The 23,347-nt window shown below is 39.0% G+C and overlaps 1 protein-coding gene and 1 pseudogene across 3 annotated transcripts in view; both read right to left on the reverse strand.

Annotated features, from left to right (window-relative positions):
• Positions 1–23,347, reverse strand: part of ATP13A4 (ATPase 13A4) — a 194,153-nt gene that overhangs the window by 166,239 nt on the left and 4,567 nt on the right. For all 3 annotated transcript variants that reach the window (XR_007095757.1, XM_047449063.1, XM_017007319.2), the window contains exon 2: positions 16,502–16,701. Coding sequence is in view for 2 of the 3 variants with exons in the window: in XM_047449063.1 (XP_047305019.1) it covers positions 16,502–16,536 (35 nt within the window). In the remaining variant the exon portion in view is untranslated. The remainder of the gene's footprint in view (positions 1–16,501; positions 16,702–23,347) is intronic.
• Positions 13,607–14,264, reverse strand: EEF1A1P23 (eukaryotic translation elongation factor 1 alpha 1 pseudogene 23; annotated as a pseudogene).

Raw genomic sequence — 23,347 nt, forward strand, 5'->3', positions numbered from 1 at the left:
TGTACCAAATGGGTTGAGGACTGCTGATCTAGAACAAATTATTTAACCTTTAATAGATCTCCTGGAGTCAATATGAAGTTAGGTGAAATAATGCATATAAAGTGCTTAGCAGGGAATCAATGTGTGGCAATCATTTACTGTTAGGCAAACAATTACTGTTATTTTGGGGTACTTTTTCTTTGGTGCTCTCAAAATTGGAAGGAGTAGTTTAATATAAGGCTACTGGGCATAGGAGCAGAGAATTGGGGTCATGAATTTCTGGACCCTTTGAAAGGACATCAAAGAGTACTGGAAGGAGAGAGATTCACAATCAACCTCTGGCAACCTCACTGTCTAACTTGGGGCAACCTCTGCTACTCAATTAAGAGAAAATGAGAGCCAGGTAATCTTGGCATTAGAAGGAGATTTTGAGATTGACAGGTCCTATTTCCACCCAGTGGTCCCAGTCTAGCCATGAGATGTCCCTGCTTTCCTCATGTCCCTGCTCTCAGTTCCCCTGCAGAGAGCTCCTTCCCCAGCCAGCAATCTGCTGGAATCTGACAGCCAGGGGGCTTGCAGACCAAACACTATTAAGTGGTTAAGTATTTAAAAACAGGTCGTGAGAAACATATTCATTTCCTGTTTCTTGCTATCTCACTATGTGATGTTGAACGCACCATTCCACTGCTCTGAGCCTCAGTTGACTAATCTGTTTAATGGAACTGATATTATTGTCCTACTCTTGTGATATTGTTTATTATTGTGATATTGCTTGTTTCTGCTCAGCACAGAGTTAAGTGCTCCATTAATGCCAGGCCATGAGACTATCATGAGCATCATGAGAGGTAGTAGGTAAAATTGATAGATATAGAATGCAGTGCCCAAGTCCTCAACTCACGAACCTGTGCGGCTACTGCCAGGAGAAGGCCAAAGGGCTTTCTTTCTCCCTAGATAATTCAGATACATTTTAGACAATGGTTCTCCTGGGGTAATGGACCTGCCCTTGTTCTCCTAACCTACTCTTTTTGCTACCTCCCTAAATTCCACTTTCCCGTATTGAATTTAATACCTCAGTAATTATCCTTAAATTTGGATCTCCAGGTTTTTCTTTGCTTTGATCTTTTTAGCCCCTATGATAGAACAGATGGTCTCCAGCTTATACCTTCCCCAGATCTGAACATTTCATATGTCCAAGCAGCAGCTGGCCTGCCTCCTTACTCAGTGTACCAGTGACCTATTGGCCCTATATTCTGTCCTCAAGAATCTGTGACTGCTCCTGGGTATGCAGCCCGGAACCTTCTTTGCTGGGGCCTCTCAACCCCTGGAACATGTTAGGCATCACAAGAGCCTGGCACCCCTTTCCCTCTATCCCTAAAACATCACACATATACGCAAACACAAACTCATACACACACTATTGGAGCATGAGCCCTGGTCACACTTCCATTAGATCCAGTGGTAACAGTTGCCTCACCATTCCTTTCCACTACATTCCTCACCCCTTTCACTTACTTTTTGGAAGGTCTCTTGCTAACATCTTCAGTCCTTTTGGTCAAGGCCCTGTCTCTGACCCCAAATGTCACCCACAAAGCCTAATGTTGTGGTTAACAATATTTTCAGTTACTACTAAAATATTTGATGGCACACATATGTTAAAAATGAAAACAAGTTTTCTGGAAGATTATCTGTTAATATTTATCAAAGAGATTATATGTATAATAATCATACCTAACATGAATGTTTGCCATGAACCAAACACTGTTGTTAACTCATCTTATTTTCCTATCTTCAACTCTATAAAACAGATACTTTCGTTATTACCACTTTATCCCACTTTTAGAATTCTCTTGTGAATCATCTCAGATTTATTCAAATTGGGTACAAAAATTTATCACAGCATTGTTCAAATTGAATTATGTCCATATAATAGAATATTATGCAACCATTAAATATCAGAATATTCAGGAATGTTTAATATTTGAAAATGATAATTAAATATTAAATGAAAAACAAGATATGCATATTTTTATATAAAAAATGAGCCTGATATTATCCATGGATGCATAAACCAAAAAAGAAAACAAAGAGACAGAGATACGACAAAACCCTGACAGTGAATATCTCTGAGGGAGAATTCTTTACTTTATTCCCCTGTCTCTGTCATTCAGTTTTCCACAATAAACATGCTTTAATGTTATAATCAGAAAAAGTAAATGTATTAAAAATATATTTTGCTATAGCATCATGTAGTTAAGTTCTGCTTAATTTCTGCTAGAGCCCAAGTGTCCTGCTCATCCTCAAGAGCATCACAATCTCTCCGATGCAGTCCATGGATACGAATTAATATTATTTCCAAAGAAGAGGACCCAGAAATGTAAGAGAGTTTAAATTTCCTCCAATTTACAGAAAATATGCAAATAAAGCAACCTATGGTCACTTGGTGCCAAGAAATGAATCCTCATTAAGGACCCACCAAACTCCCTGCACTGTCCTTAGAAATGGAAGTTTAGCTACCATGTGTTAGGTTTTCTCTTCTCCACCAGGATGTTTTCTTCTTCCAGGATTTTTTATCTCAGTGATATCCTTGGTTTCTTTCCTCCCCACCAGCCCCTGTCTCTCCCAAATCTAATTGTCCCTGGTTCTGTTTAAAGCCTGCCTGGAGGTGCCTCCAAACAGACTCCCCTTCTTCTGACCCGTGAGCCAGAATAGACCTGCATGGTTGTGCCTTTGGTAAAACACAGCCACCTGAAGCACCACCACTTTCTTTCTTTTCTTTTCTTTTCTTTTTTTTTTAGACGGAGTTTCACTCTTATTGCCCAGACTGGAGTGCAATGGCGCAGTCTCGGCTCACTGCAACCTCCGTCTCCCGGGTTCAAGCGATTCTCCTGCCTCAGCCTCCTGAGTAGCTGGGATTACAGGCACATGCCACCACACCCGGCTAATTTTTTGTATTTTTAGTAGAGACGGGTTTTCACCATGTTGGCCAGGCTGGTCTCAAACTCCTGACCTCAGGTGATCTGCCTGCCTCAGACTCCCAAAGTGCTGGGATTACAGGCATGAGCCACCGTGCCCAGCCAAGCACCACCACTTTCTTTTAACTACCAAAGAACTTTGGCAAACAGTTGATTCCAGGAAAAAAGCTGCCACTTTCTCTAGGGGAAAAAAATGGAACTAAATGCAAAAGCTTTCATCTAATTGCAGTAAAAAACAGACACTTCTCTTCCACTTTAGCCATTATTTCTAGGCACATTGAAAGGAGCATGGATTTGTAGCCTCCCATAACCTGGACTTAAAGCCAGGCTCTAGAATGGGCTAGGAGAGCATGTGCGAGGCTGTGAAGGTTGTTCACCTACAAAATAGGACTAATAACTTTAAGGACTGTTGAAAGAATAAAAATTGTTCATAAATGATAACATGAGTATACATAAACCTAGCACCCAGATCTTTGTTTCTAATGCCATTCTCCAATAAAAGGAACAAAAGCTCCTTGGAAAAATGGCTGAATCTAGGACTGGGGACACAAATATACAAGATGAGCCTCTTGTAGTGCCAGAACATAAAAAAGTGCTTAAAAAAATTAATGAGGATGGGTCAAATGGGTACAAGAGAAACTGAAGGAGCTCCCAATGGCCAAAGTTGGAACCATTTGAGCAACAAAATAATATCAGTATTGTTTTATAACCCAAAGTATAAAATAAATATTTGTGAATCCACACTGATACAAATAAGTTATAGAATAAATAAACAAATGGGCGAGAAGAGATAAATCTCTCATGCAGAAGAATTCAAACAATTTATGTAGATACTACACGCTTGCTAACTGTGGGCTATTCATAGTGATTTCCTTCTAAAGAGTATAGTATAGAAAAGAAGGAAAAGAGAAGCTTTACAGTGGAGAGATTTGACTGACACTATGTCAGCCAGCCAGGTGATCAAGGTCAACATCCACAGTGGCAAGTCATGCTGAGAGTGTGTTATCCTTAATATAATGTGATAGGAATGGCATTTTGCCTCTGTGCACTTCTTCCCAAAAGCCCAGAATTCTAGTCTAATAGTGAGAAAAATGTTCGACAAATCCCAATAAAGGGACGTGGTACAAAATACCAGTCTAGTAGTCCTTAAAATTGACAAGGTCATCAAAAACAAAAGAAGTTTGAGAAACTGTCACAGCCAAGATGAGCCTAAGGAGAAATGACAACTAAATGCAACTTAGTATCCTGGGTGAGATCCTGGACAGGATAAAAAGCATCAGATAAAAACTAAGGAATTTTGAATAAATTATCAACTCTAGTTAATAGCAACATAGCAGTATTGGGTTTTTGTTTTGGTTTGGTTTTTTTGTTGTTGTTTTTGTTTTTGTTTTTTGTTTTTTGTTTTGAGAGAGGGTCTCGCTCTGTCACCCAGGCAACAATAGCTCACTGCATCCTCAACCTCCCGGGCTCAAGCAGTCCTCCCATCTCAGCCTCCCAAGTAACTGGAACGACAGATGCACGCCACCACGCTCAGCTAATTAAAAAAAAAATTTTGTGTGTGTGCTGACAGGGTCTTGCTACGTTTCCAAGCTGGTCTTGAACTCCTGAGCTCAAGCAATCCTCCCACCGCAGGCTCCCAAAGTGCTGGGATTACAGGTATGAACCACTTCACCCAGCCAGTACTGGTTACTTAATTGTGATAAATAAACCATATTAATGTAAGATATTAACAATGAGGGAAATCGGGTGCGGGGTATATGAGAACTCTCTATGCTATCATCACAATCTTTCAATAAACCTAAAACTATTCAAAAATGGAGAGTTTATTTTTTAAAAATTACGCATACAAATATGCTTTGCCAGCAGGGTGCGGTGGCTCATGCCTGTAATCCCAGCACTTTGGGAGGCTGAGGCAGGAGGATCACTTGAGCCCAGGAGTCTGAGAAAAGCCTGGGCAACAAAGCAAGACCTTCTATCTAAAACAAAACAAAACAAAAAAATTAAAAATTAGCCAGGCGTGGTGGCACACACCTGTAATTCCGGCTACTCAGGAGACTGAGCTGGGAGGATTGCTTGAGCCCAGGAGGTCGAGGCTGCAGTGAGCTGTGATTGTGTAATTGCACCACTGCACTCAAGCCTGGGCAATAGATTGAGACTCTGTCTCAAAAAAATATGTTTGCTTAGTAAGCCACATAATATATGCCTAAATTGTTGTTTTCCTATGTCTTAACATGATTTATAGGTTATTTCTTGTCAGGAAAAGTATTTTATTTCTTAATTATTTATCATTAGAACCATGTATGACATGCTAATTATAAATTATATACTAGCAAAATCTCAATGCATTTTTATTGAATTTTTTATTTTATCATTGACAAATCAGAAGGGGAAACTATCAGGGTGACAGTGAACAGAAGGGAAGGATAAAGGACTGGAATAGAGGCCTAATACCACCACAGTCTTTATCTTTATTTTTTCCTCATACAATTAAACTCAGCCTCTTAGCATATCCTATTCTTGAGTAAAGCAGGGAGGCAGTGTCATAGCGGTGAAACCCACAGGCTCTGAATTCTCACAGACCAGAGCTTGCATCCTGTGTACCAGTTGTGTGGTCAGGGGAAATTATTTATCTCTACAAGCTTCAGGCTCATCATATGGGACCAAAGGATAATAATATCTCCCATGAGGATGGTTGCTAATATTAAATGAGATGACATATATACAATGCTTAGCACAGTGTATATATAAATTCCCAATAATTGGTAGCTATTATTATTATTAAAGGGGTGTAAAATTTGGCCAGACATGGTTGTAAAAGCAAAGTAGAAAATAAGTATCTGGCCAGGTGTGGTAGCTCATGCCTGTAATCCCAGCACTTTGGGAAGCCAAGGCGGGTGGGTCAACTGAGGTCAGGAGTTCGAAACCAGCCTGGCCAACATGGCAAAACCCCGTCTCTACTAAAAATACAAAAATTAGCCGGGCATGGTGGCGTGGGCCTGTGATCCCACCTATTCAAGAGGCTGAGGCAGGAGAATTGTTTGAACCTGGGAGGTGGAGGTTGCCAGTGAGCCGAGATTGCGTTACTGCACTCCAGCCTGGGTGACAAAGCAAGACCTTGTCTCAAAAAAAAAAAAAGAAATATCCATGAGTTCAAAGAGAGATACAAATAAACAATTGAATAAATAAATGGGGAGAATAGATAAATCTTCCGTACAGAATTCCAGATAACTTATGCACACAGGGCTCCTCAGAAAGGGCTACATAACTATTCACTCCTTAACATTGGCTGCTGGTAGTGACTTCCTTCCACAGTGTACAGTATGAGGGGTGAGGAGGAAGTAACTTTACAGTGGAGAAACCTACCAAATATTGCTCAGTCAGGTGATGAAGGTTAATTTCAAAATTGATATGTCATGCTGACAACATGGTGTGATAAGCATGGCACTTTACCTCTTACAGTCTTCCTCCCAAAAACCTACAACTCCTGTCTATCCATGAGAAAAACATCAGACAAACCCCAATTGAAGGGCATTTTATAAAACACGTAATACCCCTCAAAGCTGTCAAGGTCGGCACAAACAAGGAGAATCTGAGGAAATGTCATGGTCTAGGTGAGCCTAAGGAGACATAACGCATCAATCTAATGTGGTATCTTGAATGGAATCCTGGTACATGAAAAGGACATTAGGCCTGTGAAATAAAATAATAATAATAATAAAAAGGACGTTAGGTAAAACTAAAGAAAACTGAGTTATGGACTTTAGACTTTAGTTAATACTAACACATCAGTCTTGGTTTACTTGTTGTAATAAATGCACCATACTAATGTAAGATGTTAACAAAACAGGAAGCCGCCCAAGCAGGCAGATGGCTTGGGCCAGGAGTTCAAGACCAGCCTCAGCAACATGGCAAAACCCCGCCTCTACAAAACATACAAAATAATAATAATAGCCAGGCAACACATGCCTGTAGTCCCAGCTACTCGGGAGGCTAAAGTGGGAGGATTGCCTGAGCTCCAGAGGCAGAGGTTGCAGTGAGCCGAGATCATGCCACTGCACTCCAATCTGGGGGACACAATAAGACCCTGTCTAAAAAAATAGGGGAAACTGACTTTGTTTGGGGTATATGGGAACTCTCTATCCTATCTTCATAATTTTTCTGTAACTCTAAAACTATTGTAATATAAAAAGTTCAGGTTTTAAAAAAGCAGTGGGAATAGAATGTTTGTTACAGTAATTGAGAACTACCTATTTTAAACTTACAGCAGTCTTGCCTTTGTTTATTAATTTGTTAAAATAATTGAATACTCCATGATAGCAATGTGCGAATTTGGATCTAGATGGATGGTATGAACCAGTTTAGGTTTAAAAAACGAACAGAACATCCTCGGTTTAGTGGGACGCCTCTGCCCCCTAGTGTCTTAACATTCAATCTGCGTTTAGTGGCAAAGGACAGCCTGCAAGCTTCAGTCACTTGATGTTTCAAGGTCTGGACAAGAGTGGAGACATTCTCAGAGCCTCTGATCTACTAGAATCGTACTCCAGTTTGTTCATATACCCAGAAACTATGCACCGCTGAGTGGTCCCTGAAGACGTTAGTACATGCACGTGATGGAACCAGCTGATGGGAATGTAAAGGGCAGGAGGGCAGTTTGACATGTGAATAGGAAGCCTTACAAATGTGTATAGGCCAGGTGCAGTGTGACTCACGCCTGTAATTCTAGCACTTTGGGAGGCTGAACTGGGCAGATCACTTGAGCTCAGGAGTTCGAGACCAACCTGCGCAATATGGTGAAACACCTTCTTTACAAAAAAAAAAAAAATTACAAAAATTAGCTGGGCATGGTGTGCACACCTGTGGTCCCAGTTACTCGGGGTGGGGGGCAGGGGTTGGGGGGAGGGGAGTAAGGGCTGAGGTGGGAGGATGGTTTGAGTCTGGGAGGTGGAGCTTGCAGTGAGCCGAGATCACCGACATGGTTTAAATGTTCATGATATAATGTTTAGCAAAACTCTAAACAGTGTGACCAAAACTTTAAGAAATACCACAGATTAATATATAAAACTTTAAGGAATACCACAGATGAACTTTAACGAATACCACAGCCATATATATATATATACATATATATATATACACATATATATATATATACATATATATATATATATATAATTTGTATCTACTATGCTAGCAGCATCTGAGACACACATCTGTGGTCCCACCAGGACTTTTATCTCAGCCTTATCTCAGCCCTTCACCATCTGGTGACAAATGACTCTCTGGAGCACCTTCCCAAGGCTCCTGGGCCACAGGCAATTGGGAGTGTGGCCTTGCCCATTTCTTCTCACTGCCGCTGCAACAGGCTGGCATGAGGGGCTCCTCTGTGAACCTCCTTCCCTGCCTTCTCAGGTTTCCCCAGGAATCACAGTATAGTTTTTCTCCACTCGAGGTTCCCATCCCCACCACTCTAGGACTTCTAGCATTCCACAAGGTGTGAGATCATCTCTGAGATTTACAGCAGCACCCAAATCCAGTCACACTTACCAAATCTCTCCTAGCTCAGCTGTGGAATTTTATCAAATCCCAGCTCTTATATCATTCATTCTTCCAAAATCGATTATTTATAAAATAAAATTTAGCCTTTGTACACAAAAGTCAGACTTTAAAATTCAAAATCCTTTTTCTCTGGGTAAGGTCTCTTCCAGAAACTTCAAAAATCGATTTAGAAAAGTTAAGTGCTAATAATTGTTTTATTTCTTTCTCTTTGCATTCCTGCTATAACCTTACCCTGAATGCACATAGAAAGGCCTTGTGGGTGGTTGAATGATGAGGGGAGGGAGGAGAGTAAACAGGAACTAATCTACATACAGACATGTATATATGTGCATATATGCATACATGTTTATATAAAGAATAGAGAAATTCATTCTAAAAAAGTTTTAATGATTATCTATGCATCATTTCTTCTTTTTAACTAATTTTCCATATTTTCCAAATTTCAGAAACAAGTTTTATATAATCAGAAAAAGAAAATTACATATAAAAAAGAAACAGATAAGATGTCTGCCTCCGGCATCACCACCCGTAGTGAAGGAAGGAAAGTAGGGAACACAAGCTTTCTGTTGGCCACATCTCAAGCTCTCCTCTTTGCAGTTCCTGGTACTTGATCTTTGACCCTACTGATCACTCTCTTCTTGAAACACTTTTTCCTTAAATTTTGGAACACCAAGCTGTCTTAAGCTCTTTTTGTAGTTCTCTGTCCGTCAAAAACCTAGATCTCAGCCAGGCACAGTGGCTCACTCCTGTAATCCCAGCACTTTGGGAGGTCAAGGTGGACAGATCACTTGAGGTCAGGAGTTCAAGGCCAGCCTGGCCAACATGGTGAAACCCTGTCTGTAATAAAAACACAAAAATCAGGTGGGTGTGGCATGCACCTGTAATCCTAGCTACTTGCGAGGCTGAGTCAGGAGAATCACTTGAACCTGGGGCAGGGAGGTTGCAGTGAGCCAAGATTACACCACTGCATTCCAGCCTGGGTGACAGAGTGAGACTCCATCAAAAAACAAACAAAACAAAAAACCTAGATCTCAAGCCTGAGTCTGATTCTGTAATGGGACAAAACGTGTGTGTTGAAAAGGAGTGTGTGTGGGGAGAGGGGTGGTTGGTGAGTATGAAGCAAGAGGGTAATTTGCATGCAGGAGTAATGTGATTAATTTGTAGCCAGTGGGCAGACTATGGTAAAATAAAGATGACCACACATCCCCTTGAATCTGGAAGCCTCTGTGACTACTCTGACCAGTAGAATATGGCACCAGTGACATTTAAGGCTCAGATCTTAAGACACTGGCAGCTTCCACTTCCTGTCACTTGGAATACTTTCTCTAGGAGTCCACTTTGTCAAAAGTGAACTAGTCTGAGAATGGTCTGCTGTGAGGAAGCCCAAGCTAGCCATGTGGATATACCATTTGAAGAGAGATATAATAAAATGGTTGTTGTTCTAAGCCACTAAGTTTTGGGTTGTTAGTCATGCAGCAATAGATAATTGGAAGTTTCCTTCCTGTAAAAGGGGTTAGTACTATCCTTGTGGCTATATAAGAGGAGCTATAGTGAGAACTGCAGCCATATTAAACTTTAACTATCATCATAGAAGTTTCTAGAATTACTATGGAGGAGGAGGCTTTTCTGTATAGGAAAATACTTTGAAAAGCCCATTAGGAGTAGAAGGTGAGACCCTAGGGGATGAGTTGACAAAGAGAAATAAAAGATATAATCAAACCACTTTGAATTTGAATTGCACAGGAATTTGGAGGTAGGAAAGAGCAGAGAATACAGAAGCAAGTAGAAATAAGGGAAGAGCAATGGAGGAGAAGTGAGAAACGTGGCCAGGGAACAGAGATCAAGTTTCAAAAATAACTGAAAGACTTTTTAAAAACACGGGCATCTAACAAATTTGATGCTGATTGTATATCCATCAGGAAAATCTCTATTAGATTAGCAGTCCCTGGTGCAGTTTTTCTAATTAATTACTACAATACCTGAAAAATCTCTATTTCTCCAAAATTTCCACAAAGTTTGCTACCAGTATAGATAACTTTTGTGACATTTTTGTTTTGTTTTTAAATTTAGGTGGAAGTTTTTTTAAGTATCTGAGTTCCACTCATAGGTTGACTTGGTAGAGAAGAAGGATAACAGATGCCATTTCCTAAACTGAATTAATTTAGACATAGTGATTTTCAACCAGAAGTGATTTTGTCCCCCAAGGAATACCTGGTAATTTCCTAAGGCACTTTTGATTGTCTTGACTGGGACGGGGACTGGGATGGGGCAGGGAAGAAGGACAGCAACTGGCACCAAGTGGGCAGAAGCCAGGGATGCTGTCAAGAATCCTGCAGTGCACAGGCTAGCCATCCGCAAGGAAGAATTTTCCAGCCTAAAATGTCAATAGTGCCAAGATTGAGGAATCCTGATTTAGAGGAAGCCAAAGATCTGAATCAAAGGTGTCCATGAGAGCCTAAGCCCCCTGCAGAATGTACAGGAATCTTGAAGAAGACATTAGACTTTCCACGATCCATGGAATGTGGCTTGAATCAATCTTTTTTTTTTTTTTTTTTTTTTTTTTTTTTTTTGAGACGGAGTCTCGCTCTGTCGCCCAGGCCGGACTGCGGACTGCAGTGGTGCAATCTCGGCTCACTGCAAGCTCCGCTTCCCGGGTTCACGCCATTCTCCTGCCTCAGCCTCCCGAGTAGCTGGGACTACAGGCGCCCGCCACCGCGCCCGGCTAATTTTTTGTATTTTTAGTAGAGACGGGGTTTCACCCTGTTAGCCAGGATGGTCTCGATCTCCTGACCTCATGATCCACCCGCCTCGGCCTCCCAGAGTGCTGGGATTACAGGCGTGAGCCACCGCGCCCGGCCTTGAATCAATCTTATGTAAATTATTGGGAAGAGGGTGATTCTAATTAACCTCTGGGTTACGGCATCAAATAAGAAAAACTAATCAGTTAAAGTTCTTAATTGCAAGTAACAGAAACTAACTCTGGGGAAATTGAGCAGAAAAGGAATGTATTAGGTAATACTGGGCAGCTCATAGAATCTCTGGAAGGGTTGAAGAACCCGACCTGGAGGCTAAGCAGAAAAAAACAACTCATAAAAGCATTCTACAGAATCGTCCATGAAGATATCGGTGCCTCCACCACTGGCACAGACACTGCTGGAATAAAGGAAGCCTGAATGTTCTAGCAATCAAGATAGAATGGATGCTTCCAAATAAGCAAAAAGAAGCAGGACCTCAAAGTTTCATTTTGAAAACATATAAATATCTTTCAGCCTTAACATGAGAGAGTGAAAACTCAGCCACGTAAGCTCAGAACCTCAGGGTCATTGTTGACTCCATAATAGTAATCCAAGTCAAAATACACTTGGATAAATACATTGCCCTCCTAAGAGGCCTCCTGGTTTTAGTCTTCCACCTATAACCAACACCACATCCACTGGTAGAGTAACTTCCTATTTGGATTATGGTGCTTTCCTTCAAAGAAGTTATGCATAAATTAGCTTTCAAAACAAATCCAAACATAATTTGACATCATTCAAAGCACTCTGTGATCTGTTCTGGACCTATATTCCAGTCGTCACTCCCACTACTTATCCAGGCAAATGATTTGCTTATTGAGCCCTAAGTATACTTGGCAAATGGTTTTCTTTCTTCTGCACCTTTACTCTTACCATTCTTTCTTCTGAGATGCCTTTTCACCTTCTCTTTATCTAAATCTCACATTCATCCTTTAAAATCCAGCTCAAAACTCACAGAACACCTAACAATACCACGAACCTACTTTGTGATCTTGAGAAAATGAATACATTGCTCTGAACTTATATAAGTACAAAATGGAACATTGTATTTTGTATTTGTATTACACAATGTATACAATTAACATTGCATTTGTACTACATTTTGCTGAAAACTTTTTATTAGGAAACCATACTGTCTACACTGTGCTATAGTGGAACTGGAAGCTCTAAACCTGTAGTCCTGAGGCACCAGGAGGGTGAGTGCAAGAGCACAGTCATTCTGGAGACTTCTTTGCTGATGAAGTAGGACTCATTTTCAAGTCCACCCTTTATCAAATAGATCTCTATGTTGCAATCTAACATACAGAAGACTGTATCTCATGATAACCTTTTCTTCCAGTGCTTTCAAACAGTGAGGCTTTATTAACACTTCCATGAAACAGTTCTGAAAATTAAAAACACTTCAATCTCTTTCATTCTCTCTGAATAGAGAATATGTTTTAATGGAGTAAATTCTCAACTTTCAGACTGCAAACTCAAGTGCATAATAAATATTGCATTTCTTGGGCTAGGTGCGGTGGCTCACTCTTATAATCCCAGCACTTGGGAGGCTGAGGCGGGTGGATCACTTGAGGTCAGGAGTTCAAGACCAGCCTGGCCAACATGGTGAAACCCTGTATCTACTAAAAATACAAAAAGTAGCCAGGTATGATGGTGTGTGCTGTAATCCCAACTACTCGGGAGGCTGAGGCAGGAGCATTACTTGAACCGAGGAGACGGAGGTTGCAGTGAGCCAAGATCACACCATTGCACTCTAGCCTGTGCAACAGAGTGAGACTCCATCTCAGAAATATCTATATCTATATCTATATCTATATCTATATCTATATCTATATCTATCTATCTATCTATTGCATTTATTTAAATAGACTTAATTTTAACTCTACACCTTCACTTAGTTGGTTTCTGGGAAGCAACTGCTGCCATTTTGGTGGTTCTCTCAGTATGAAAAATAAAATTAGGTCATTCTCCCATTATAGAGAGTGTGGTGATTCATTTTGTGTGTCAACTTGACTGGATTAAGAGACACCATGACAGTTGGTAAAGCATCACTTCTGGGTATATCCATGAGGATGTTTCTGAAAGAGACGGGTTTTTGAAGCAGTAACTGAGTAAGGGAGATTTGCCCTCACCCAGTGTGGGCATGCACCATCCAGTCACTGAGTTCCTGGACAGAACAAAAAGGGAGAGGAAAGGAACATACCCTCTGTCTGTCTGTCTGTCTGTCTCTCTCTCTTTCTTCCTCTCCCTCTTTCTCCTCCCAGGAGCTGGACACCCATCTTCTCCTATGCTTGGACATTAGAACTCCACATTCTCCCCATTCCAACCAGAAACTGACACAAATACTATTGTGGCTGGGTTGTAGCCAGTTTTCTTAATGTACATGCTGATTTCCTTAATTATTTCCTCCTATCTCTTCTGACTGTAGGATGGCTCAGTGGAATCCATTTTGTCAACTCCAACAATTAGTTTTTTCACACCCTGTGTGTAAGGCAGAAGGGCATGATCACAGGTCTGTCCGGTTTTGGAGATACCAGCTTCAAAGTTGCCAACACCAGCAGCAATAATCAGGACAACACAGCCCACCTGATATGTCCCTGTAATCACGTTTTTGATAAAGTCTCTGTGGCCTAAGGCAACAGCGATAGTCACTTGCTGGTCTCAAATTTCCAAACAGAGGTATCAATGGTGAGTAATATCACATTCACACTCAGCATTCAGTTTATCCAATACCCAGGAATAGTTGAAGACACTCTTTCCCATCTCAGCAGCCTCCTTCTCAAATTTTTCAGTGGTTCTTTCTTGATGCCACCACGTGTGTAGATTGGATGGCCAGTAGTGGTGGACCTGCTCGAATCTACGTGTCCAATGGTGACAATGTTGATATGAGTCTTTTTCTTTCCCATTTTGGCTTTTAGGGGTGGTTTTCATGACACCTGTGTTCTGGAAGCAAACCTGCTGCAATGGGAATATATATGTATTGTAATATATATATATATATTCCTATTCTTACTATAGGTAGTGTTTTTGGTGGCAGAGTTAGGCAGTCTAAACATCACTCTGTGTTTTCCACTATTGTTCCCAGTTTTACTTATGGTTAAATTGGCCATATGACTAGGTTCTGGCCTACAGGATGTGGGGAGAAATGAAGTAAGTCATTTCTATGCCAGCCCTTACAAATCATGTCAGACAATCCGTGCTCTCCAAAGTGACCTTGGAAGCCACGTTTCAGATGGTGTAGCTGGGAACAACCTGGGTCTTGCGTCTCCTGCTCAAGCAGCATATCCCATTCTATCTCAACTGATAGAATCACTGAATGCACACTATGTGCCAAGCACTACTCTAAGTGCCCATACGTTAACTAATTTTATAATGAGATACACATATTAGCAAATATCATAACATCATGGTAATAGAATGATACAGAAGGACATGCCTAAAATGGCATTGAACCTCAAATCTACCACACATATCCTTCCAGTATTTCTTCCCCATTCTTTCTGCTTGTCTAAATCTCACCCTAAATTTTATTTCAGTTAAGGAACAAAGTGGTAAACTGGATATGTTAAAGTAAAAAGGAAGAAGTTCTAGCGTGTGTGTTTATTTTATATAAATATGTGAATCCAATCTATTTATTAAGAGCTTCTTGAGAGCTGTGGATTCCTACAACCTCTCCTGCTGATATAGCCTGGTAAATTGACTACTGAAAGTGGATTAATTTTGTCTTCTCTAAATGCAAGCACCACTGCTGTTTAGGTGGGCCTCCAAACTGGGAGACAGTAAGTCCCATTGTCCTGGTGGTGTTTGTGAGTTGGACCAGGATTATAGCAGTTGTAGCAGGATATAGCCTCAACTTGGTTTATCTTGGCCCTTCCTACCACCAAGGATTCTTAGGACCATACAAAGTATGAGAGAGAAAGGAGACTGTCAACAGCTTGTGACAAAGAGCAGCAAAGATGTGGGAGCTGGTCCTTCTGCAAGGCACACAATTCAACTCACTCTTACAGAGGAGGGTGCTAGCAAGCTAGTATACGTACTACTAAGAAGAATCACCATGCAGAATTACTCAAAGCCTAGTATATATATTTTTTTATTGTACAGGCCAAGTTACAGAATAGAATGAAGGTAGGGATTATGTTTTTAGTCTAAAACAGAAGCAAAGAGGAAATGAACCAGAGTGTGGAGCAAAAAATACCTGCGAGTAGGGGGAGAAAAACCTCAGAACCGGTGAGCGGGGAGGAAAGGAAAGGTACGGTTTTGAACATGACATTGGCTTAAAAGATTATAAATTGTAAGAGGCATAGAAACTTCAAAACAGAAAGAAAAAACTAAATTGCAAAAGCTTTTAATGATGGGAAGGTTGAAATAGAGTGAAGAAAAGCAGTGTTGTGCTGCTCAAACAATGGTGTATGGGTAATCGTTTAACAACTGGCTCTTCCAAAAATGATGTGTTCATATGCATAAGTTTCTTATACATTTTACTATGAATAAATGCTTCATTACTATCAATCCTATCTATTTCAACAAAGAAGTTGCTCACATCGTTAACCTATGAGTTTAGCTCTGACATGAATATGGGTTGTATTTTCCGATACATTAGTGAGTAAGAGAAAAGTAAAACAATGAAGATGTACATTAGGAAAATTTAAATTAATGATGATGTGCAAGACTTCTTTACTGAATTAGATAATAGTGTTCAAATACTGAAAGAATATTGTCTCAATTATGTATGTTATTCACAATGTAAAACCACAGACAGAACACACTTTAAAATTTAATCTGTAGTGTTATTTTTTTCCATCACTTTCTTAAGATTAGACAATCAACGAAAAACAAATCAAGCCCTGATTTGTAGTGCGTGCTGATTTCTATGGTGGAAATACTGCCACCATGACTAGTTTCAAGCTATACCAGCAACATGTCACTGAACGCAGAGTTAGAAAGAGAGGCGCAATAGCACCTCATTATATGTATAGCGTTTCCACCATACAAATGCAATGGACGTGATAACCACGTGCCTAGAAAATAATTCCTTATGCTTAGTAGTCACAGGTAATCTCTGAAGTCCCCCAAATTCCTAGCATTCCTAATCCCTTTGAATCTGATGAATCTGATTCTGTTTAGGTGGCAGGAATTATTGAGGCGCCTGAGACCTCTCAAGAGAGTGTTAGGAAGGGACACTTAAGGGAAAACACTTACCTCTTCCTGATCTCTGGGAATGTCTCTCCTCCCATGTTTGCTTCTCCAAGACCCTCTCTTCTACTCCAGGCCTCCCAGCAAAATCTGGTTTTCTTATAAAACCAGAAGAGCCTTGAATTGCCAACATTTCTCCTGCTAACATCCCCAAGGCAAGGTTACAAAAGCTGGCTGTCTTTTCGATGAGGACAGAAAAGAGAAGTCTGGAAAACATAACATAAACCGAGAATGCATCTCACTTCAGCAGTTGGTACAGCTGAAGCAAGGCTTCAGTGTGAATGCTGACAATGGGGTCACATGTTCTCAGTCAATAACATATTAGATTAGCAGTCCCTGGTGCAGATTTTCTAATTAATTACTAAAATACCTGAAAAGACTTCCATATATATATATATATATATATATAATATACACATATATACTTACATATGTATACTTTTCTTTTCTTTTTTTTTTTTTTTTTTGGCGGAGTTTTCCTCTTGTGGCCCAGGCTGGAGTGCAATGGCATGATCTCAGCTCACTGCAACCTCCCCCTCCAGGGTTCAAATGATTCTCCTGCCTCAGCCTCCAGAGTAGCTGGGATTACAGGCGCACACCACTACGCCCAGCTAATTTTTTTATTTTTAGTAGAGATGGGGTTTTACCACGTTGGCGAAGATGTTCTCCATCTCCTGACCTTGTGATCCGTCCGCCTCAGCCTCCCAAAGTGTTGGGACTACAGGCGTGAGCCACCGCACCTGGCCATATGTATACTTTAATATATGCATGTACATATAATATATACATGTATATACTTATAAGTATACATTAATAATATATGTACATTATATATTATTACATATATTATATGTATTATATATAATACATATAATATATATTACATATATTATATATGTATATTACATGTATATTATATATGTATATTACATACATTATATATGTATATTACATACATTATATATGTATATTACATATATATTATATATGTGTATAACATATATAATATATATGTATATTACATATATAAAATATATATGTATAATACATATATAAAATATATATGTATATTACATATATAAAATATATATGTATATTACATATATAAAATATATATGTATATTACATATATAAAATATATATGTATATTACATATATAAAATATATATGTATATTACATATATAAAATATATATGTATATTACATATATAAAATATATATGTATATTACATATATAAAATATATATGTATATTACATATATATAAAATATATATATGTATATTACATATATATAAAATATATATATGTATATTATATAGATATAAAAAATATATATGTATAACAATGAAAACCCTCTAGCCAGTATCATAAAGGAATAATCACTGTGGAGCAGAATTGAAGGGCATAGTTATGGTCAATACGTACTTTACTACATAAAAATAAAGAAGGGGCTGGGTGCAGTGGCTCAAGCCTGTAATCCCAGCACTTTGGGAGGCCAAGGCAGGCAGATCACCTGAGATCAGGAGTTTGAGACCAGCCTGGCCAACGTGGCGAAACCCCGTCTCTACTAAAAATACAAAAATTAGCTGGGATTGGTGGCGGGCGCCTGTAATCCCAGGTACTCAGCAGGCTGAGGCAGGAGGATTGCTTGAACCCAGGAGGCGGAGGTTGCAGTGAGCCGAGATCATGCCACTGCACTCCAGCCTGGGAGACAGACTCCATCTCGAAAAACAAAAATAAAATAAAATAAATAAATAAATAGTAAGATGACAAGAAAAAACAAGATGATAGCTGTAAAAAATATTGTATCAAATAATAGAAGGAGATCTCATATGCAGAGATGTAGCCTAGTACCTGGTACACTAAATCAGTATTTACTATGCATGTAATCATAATAGTTGTTACAGTAGAAAGATCCAAAGGAAGATTGTATCTTTGAATTTATTACAGGGACAAGAAAAAAAATCAGACAATAAGTTGGCATTTCAATACAATGAAAGAAGCTTGACCTCTAAGATACAAGCACAGAAAGCAATAAAAATAAGTAAAGGAAATATTTCAAATTTTATAATTCAAGAGTAAATCCTTAAAACTACTTAAAAAGCAGGAAAAGGCAAAAGTGTCACTGCAAAACAAAATGAAATTTGTGACATGCAGTAGATTGCAGAAAAGGTATAAAAATTGTTCTTTTAAAAAATGATAAATATAGAAGATTTCTAAACAAAGATTAGAAGTACAATTTGAAAACTACAGCTAGTTTCAGGTGTGGCTGGATAAACTGATTCTTTCCTCCCCTTTCCCCAACCCATCACACTCACACACTCCATATCAGAAAGAAATCATTAAAATAATTTCACTGGAGCTGCGTAGTACACAGAATAACGCTTCCCACAAAGAAGTCTGAATCCTAATCAGAAGCTGTGCATGTGGCAAAGGGTAATTAAGTTTGCTGACCAGTTGACCCTAGAATAGGAAGATTATCCTCGATTATCTAGGTAGGCTGATCAAATCACACGGATGCTTACATGTGGAAAGCGGAGGTGGAAGGATTAGCATTGGAGTGATGTGGTGTTGGAAAGGTTTGACCAGTCACTGCTGGCTTTGAAGATGGAAATGAGACACAAGCAAAGAAATGTGGGTGGCCTCTCAAAACTGGAGAAGGAAAAATAAAAAAGGATTCTTCCCTAGAGACCCATTTCTTATTTCTGACCTTCAGAACTATAAGATAATAAATTTGTTCTGTTTTAAGCCACTAATTTGGGGTAATTTGTTACAGCAGCAATAGGAAACGAATACCAGCTGAAATCAATTCTACACAGCACACAAGGCTCTTTGCCTGTTATGCTCATTTTCTGCTCCTCATCTCTATACTAATGAGGCTGCCTTCTGTTGGGTCCATTTCACTTTTCTTCTATTTTTTTTTTTAACAAAAAAAGATACATTTTAAAATGTTTAATGTAAACTTTCAATACATGCAAAGTGAACAGAAAAGTATAATGAACTCTCATATACCTACTGGGCAGCTTCCATGGTTATTAACATTTTGTGATTCTTGCTTCATCTAACCTCTACCCACTTCCCATCCTCCTCATGTAATCATTCTTCATAGCTTTTTAATGTAAAATGTACACATGCAAATCTACAATTTTAAATGAACAAATCTTCGCTATACATTTTGACAAATGGATGTGTTCATGTAACTGAGACTTCTATCATGATATGGAATGTTCCCATGTTTCTAGAAAGTTCCCCAATGTTCCTCCCCACTCTCCATATCTATTTTTCCTGGTCTAGAGCATCATATAAATGGATGCTCTAAATCAAGCTTGTCCATCCTGCAGCCTGCAGGCTGCATGCGGCCCAGGATGGCTTTGAATGCAGCTGAACATAAATTCGCAAACTTTGTTACTGTTTCTTAAAACATTATCAGTTTTGACCAGGCACGGTGGCTCACCCCTGTAATCCCAGCACTTTGGGAGGCAAAGGTTCGTGGCTCACTTGAGATCAGGAGTTTAAGACCAGACTGACCAACATGGTGAAACGTCATCCCTACTAAAAATACAAAAAAATTAGCTGGGTGTGGTGGCAGGCACCTATAATCCCAGCTACTCAGAAGGCCAAGGCAGGAGAATCACTTGAACCCAGGGGGCAGAGGCTGCAGTGAGCTGAGATCGCGTCATTGCACTCCAGCCTGGGCAACAAGAGCAAAGCTCTGTCTCAAAAGAAAATAACAACAACAACAACAACAACAAAACAAAAAACATCAGGTTTGTTTGTGGGTTTTTTGCAATTTTTTTTTTGTAGCTCATCAGCTATTGTTAGTTTATTTTATGTGTGGCCCAAGACAATTCTTCTTCCAATGTGGCCCAGGGAAGCCAAAAAATTGGACACCCCTGTTCTAAATGTTTATATGGTACATTCTTTTTTGAGTTCAGCGCGTCTGTTAGATTCATTCGTGTTGTTACATGTATCCGCAGGTCATTCTGTTTGTTGTTGAGGAGTATTTCATTGTGTAAATTTCCTTTCATTTTCTCACTGCTGCACGTTTCATTTGGCTCCAGTTTTCAATTACCGTGAAAAAGTCGCTATGAACATGTTTGTACAAGACTTTCCATGAACACGTTTTTACTTCTCCTAGATAAATCCCTGAGAGTGGAATGGTTAGACCAAAGGGGAAGTGTATATTTAACTTTATAAGAAAATGCCAAATATTTTTCCAAAGTGGTCGTGCCATTTTACATTCCTGCCATCGGTTATTGACAGTTCTGGTTGCTCCACATCCTCGACAAAATTTTCATTTCTCCGATGACTAATAACATTGAGCACTTTGTGTTCATTGGCCAAATATGTATATAAAATATATATATATCTGTATATGTATACACACATACACACACACACACACACACACACACATATACACACACACGCATATCGTCCTTTGTGCAATGTCTGCATTTTTGCCCATTTTTAAATGGATTGTTCATCTTAGTATTGAATTATAAGAATTTCCTATATATCCTGAATATAAATCCTTTGTCAGATATACGTTCTAAAAATATTTTCTTCCAATTTGAGGTTTGCCTATTCATCTTATCATTGGTGTTATTTGGTGAGCAGGAGTATTTTAGTTTGATAAAGTCCAATTAATGATTTTTTAAAAATTTTATGGTGTTACCTTCCGTGACGTAAGAAATCCTTGCCTATTCCTCTTTGCAAAGATACTGTATTTTCTTCAATAAGCTTCATAGTGTTTACTTGTACATTTAGGGCTATGTCCCAGTTTATACAATTTTTGTGCATGCTTACTAATTTAGTGTATGGTATAAATTTATACTAAATTTTGTGTGTAGTATGTGTATAGTATACATTTTCTATAGGGATATCCAGTTGTTCCAGCACCATTCATTAAAAAGGCTTTTTTCACTGTTGAATTGTTTTGGTGATTTTGTCAAAAGCCAATTGACTGCAGAAATAGAGACCTATTTCTGAACCCTTTATTCTGGTCCATTTATCTATTTGGCCTTATGCCAATACCACACAGTCTTGATTACAATTGTTTTATAATAAGTATTGAGGTAGGGTAGGTTTATAAATGCTCTGGCATCAATCTGAGCTCTTTGCATTTCTATATAAATTTTAGAATATTTTGTTAATTTCTATAATTAGTGTCTGCTGGGATTGTGTTGTAAATGGATTGAGTATATAGACTAATTTGGGGGAAAGTGATATCTTAACAATACTGAGTCTTCTATTCCAGGAACACAGTATATCTCTCCATTTATTACAGTCTTCAATTTCTTTCAGCAATGTTTTGTGGTTTTCTGTGTTGAGCTTTTGCACATCTTTGGTAAATTTATGGCTAATTATATTATGGTTTTTTAATGCTATTGTGAATGACATTTTTTCATTTAATTTCCAGGTGATATTAGTCTCCAATGGCTGCTGTAACAAGTGACCTGAAACTGGGTGGGTTAAAACCACAGAAATGTATTCTCTTCACAATCTGAAGATCAGAAGTCTTTAATCTGTATCACTGGGCTAAAATCAAGGTGCTAGCAGGGCTGCATTCCTGCTGGAGGCTCTAAAGGAGAAGTCCTTGTTTGCTTATTCCATCTTCTGGTGGCTACCAGCATTCCTTGGCTTACGCCTACATCACTCCAAACTCTGCCTGTCTTCACATTGCCTTCTGCTCTGAATATGTGTGTGAAAATCTCCCTCTCATAAGAATATATTGGATGGCATTTAGGGCCTACCTAGATAATCTAGTATAATCTCCCCATCTCAATATCCTTCACTTAATCACATCTGCAAAGAGCCCTTTTCCAAGTAAGGTAACATTCACAAGTTCCAAGGATTAAGATCTGATATCTGCACAGGTGTTTTTGCAAGTATATAGAAACACAATTTGCTTACATTGGGTTTGTACTCTGAGGCCCTCCTTAATTCACTATTTCTGGTGTTTGCTTTTTATTAATTTCTTAGGATTTTCTATGTAATCAGTCACATCAGCTGAAAATGTTATGCCTTACATTTCTTGTTCTTGCATTATTGCACTGAATGTAATATATTTAGTCTTAAAAATATAAACCATAATATACAAAAAGTATAAAAATTGTAAAAACTATGGGTTATGCCATAATCCCAAAAATATGGCTTAAACCCATAATCCCAGCACTTTGGGAGGCTGAGGCAAGAGGATCTCTGGAGCCCAGGAGTTCAAGACAAGTCTGGGCAACATAGGAGACCCAGTGTCTGAAAATATATATATATATTTAAAAATTAGCCAGGCATGGTGATATATGTCTGCCGTCCCATCTACTTAAGAGGCTGAAAAGGGCAGACCACTTGAGCCCAGGAGTTCGAGGCTGCAGTGAGCCATGATCACACCACTGCACTCTAGCCTGGGAAACAGAGCAAGACGCTGTCTCAAAATAAATAAATAAACAAACATTATAAAATAATGTGGATTTAATCATTAACAAACAATTTCAAGTTCTTGCACAGTTTCACAAAGGTTAATGTGACCCAAAGCTTCACCTTTATAAAGACAACTCTCGAATCTGTATTGCAAGCCCCATCTCCCTGTGGAACTCCAAAGCTTGATTTCTAACTGCCACCTGAATAACCCATTCACACTTCAGCACCAATCATCATTCCAAAGCCAGCATTATCATCCCCTTGTAATCAGCTTTTCTATATTTGTGACTGTTACTAATAATGTCAATTGACTTTGGCTTCAACCCCATTATCTTTTGATTCCTCTTCCTAGTTTCTTCATTTAGCTTTTCATTGTTTTAAATACTCCGAAGTATCCTTTCAAAGAATCTCTCACTTCTTCCCATTACCAG

This window comes from Homo sapiens, chromosome 3, assembly GCF_000001405.40.
Source record: "Homo sapiens chromosome 3, GRCh38.p14 Primary Assembly".
Taxonomy (NCBI): domain Eukaryota; kingdom Metazoa; phylum Chordata; class Mammalia; order Primates; family Hominidae; genus Homo; species Homo sapiens.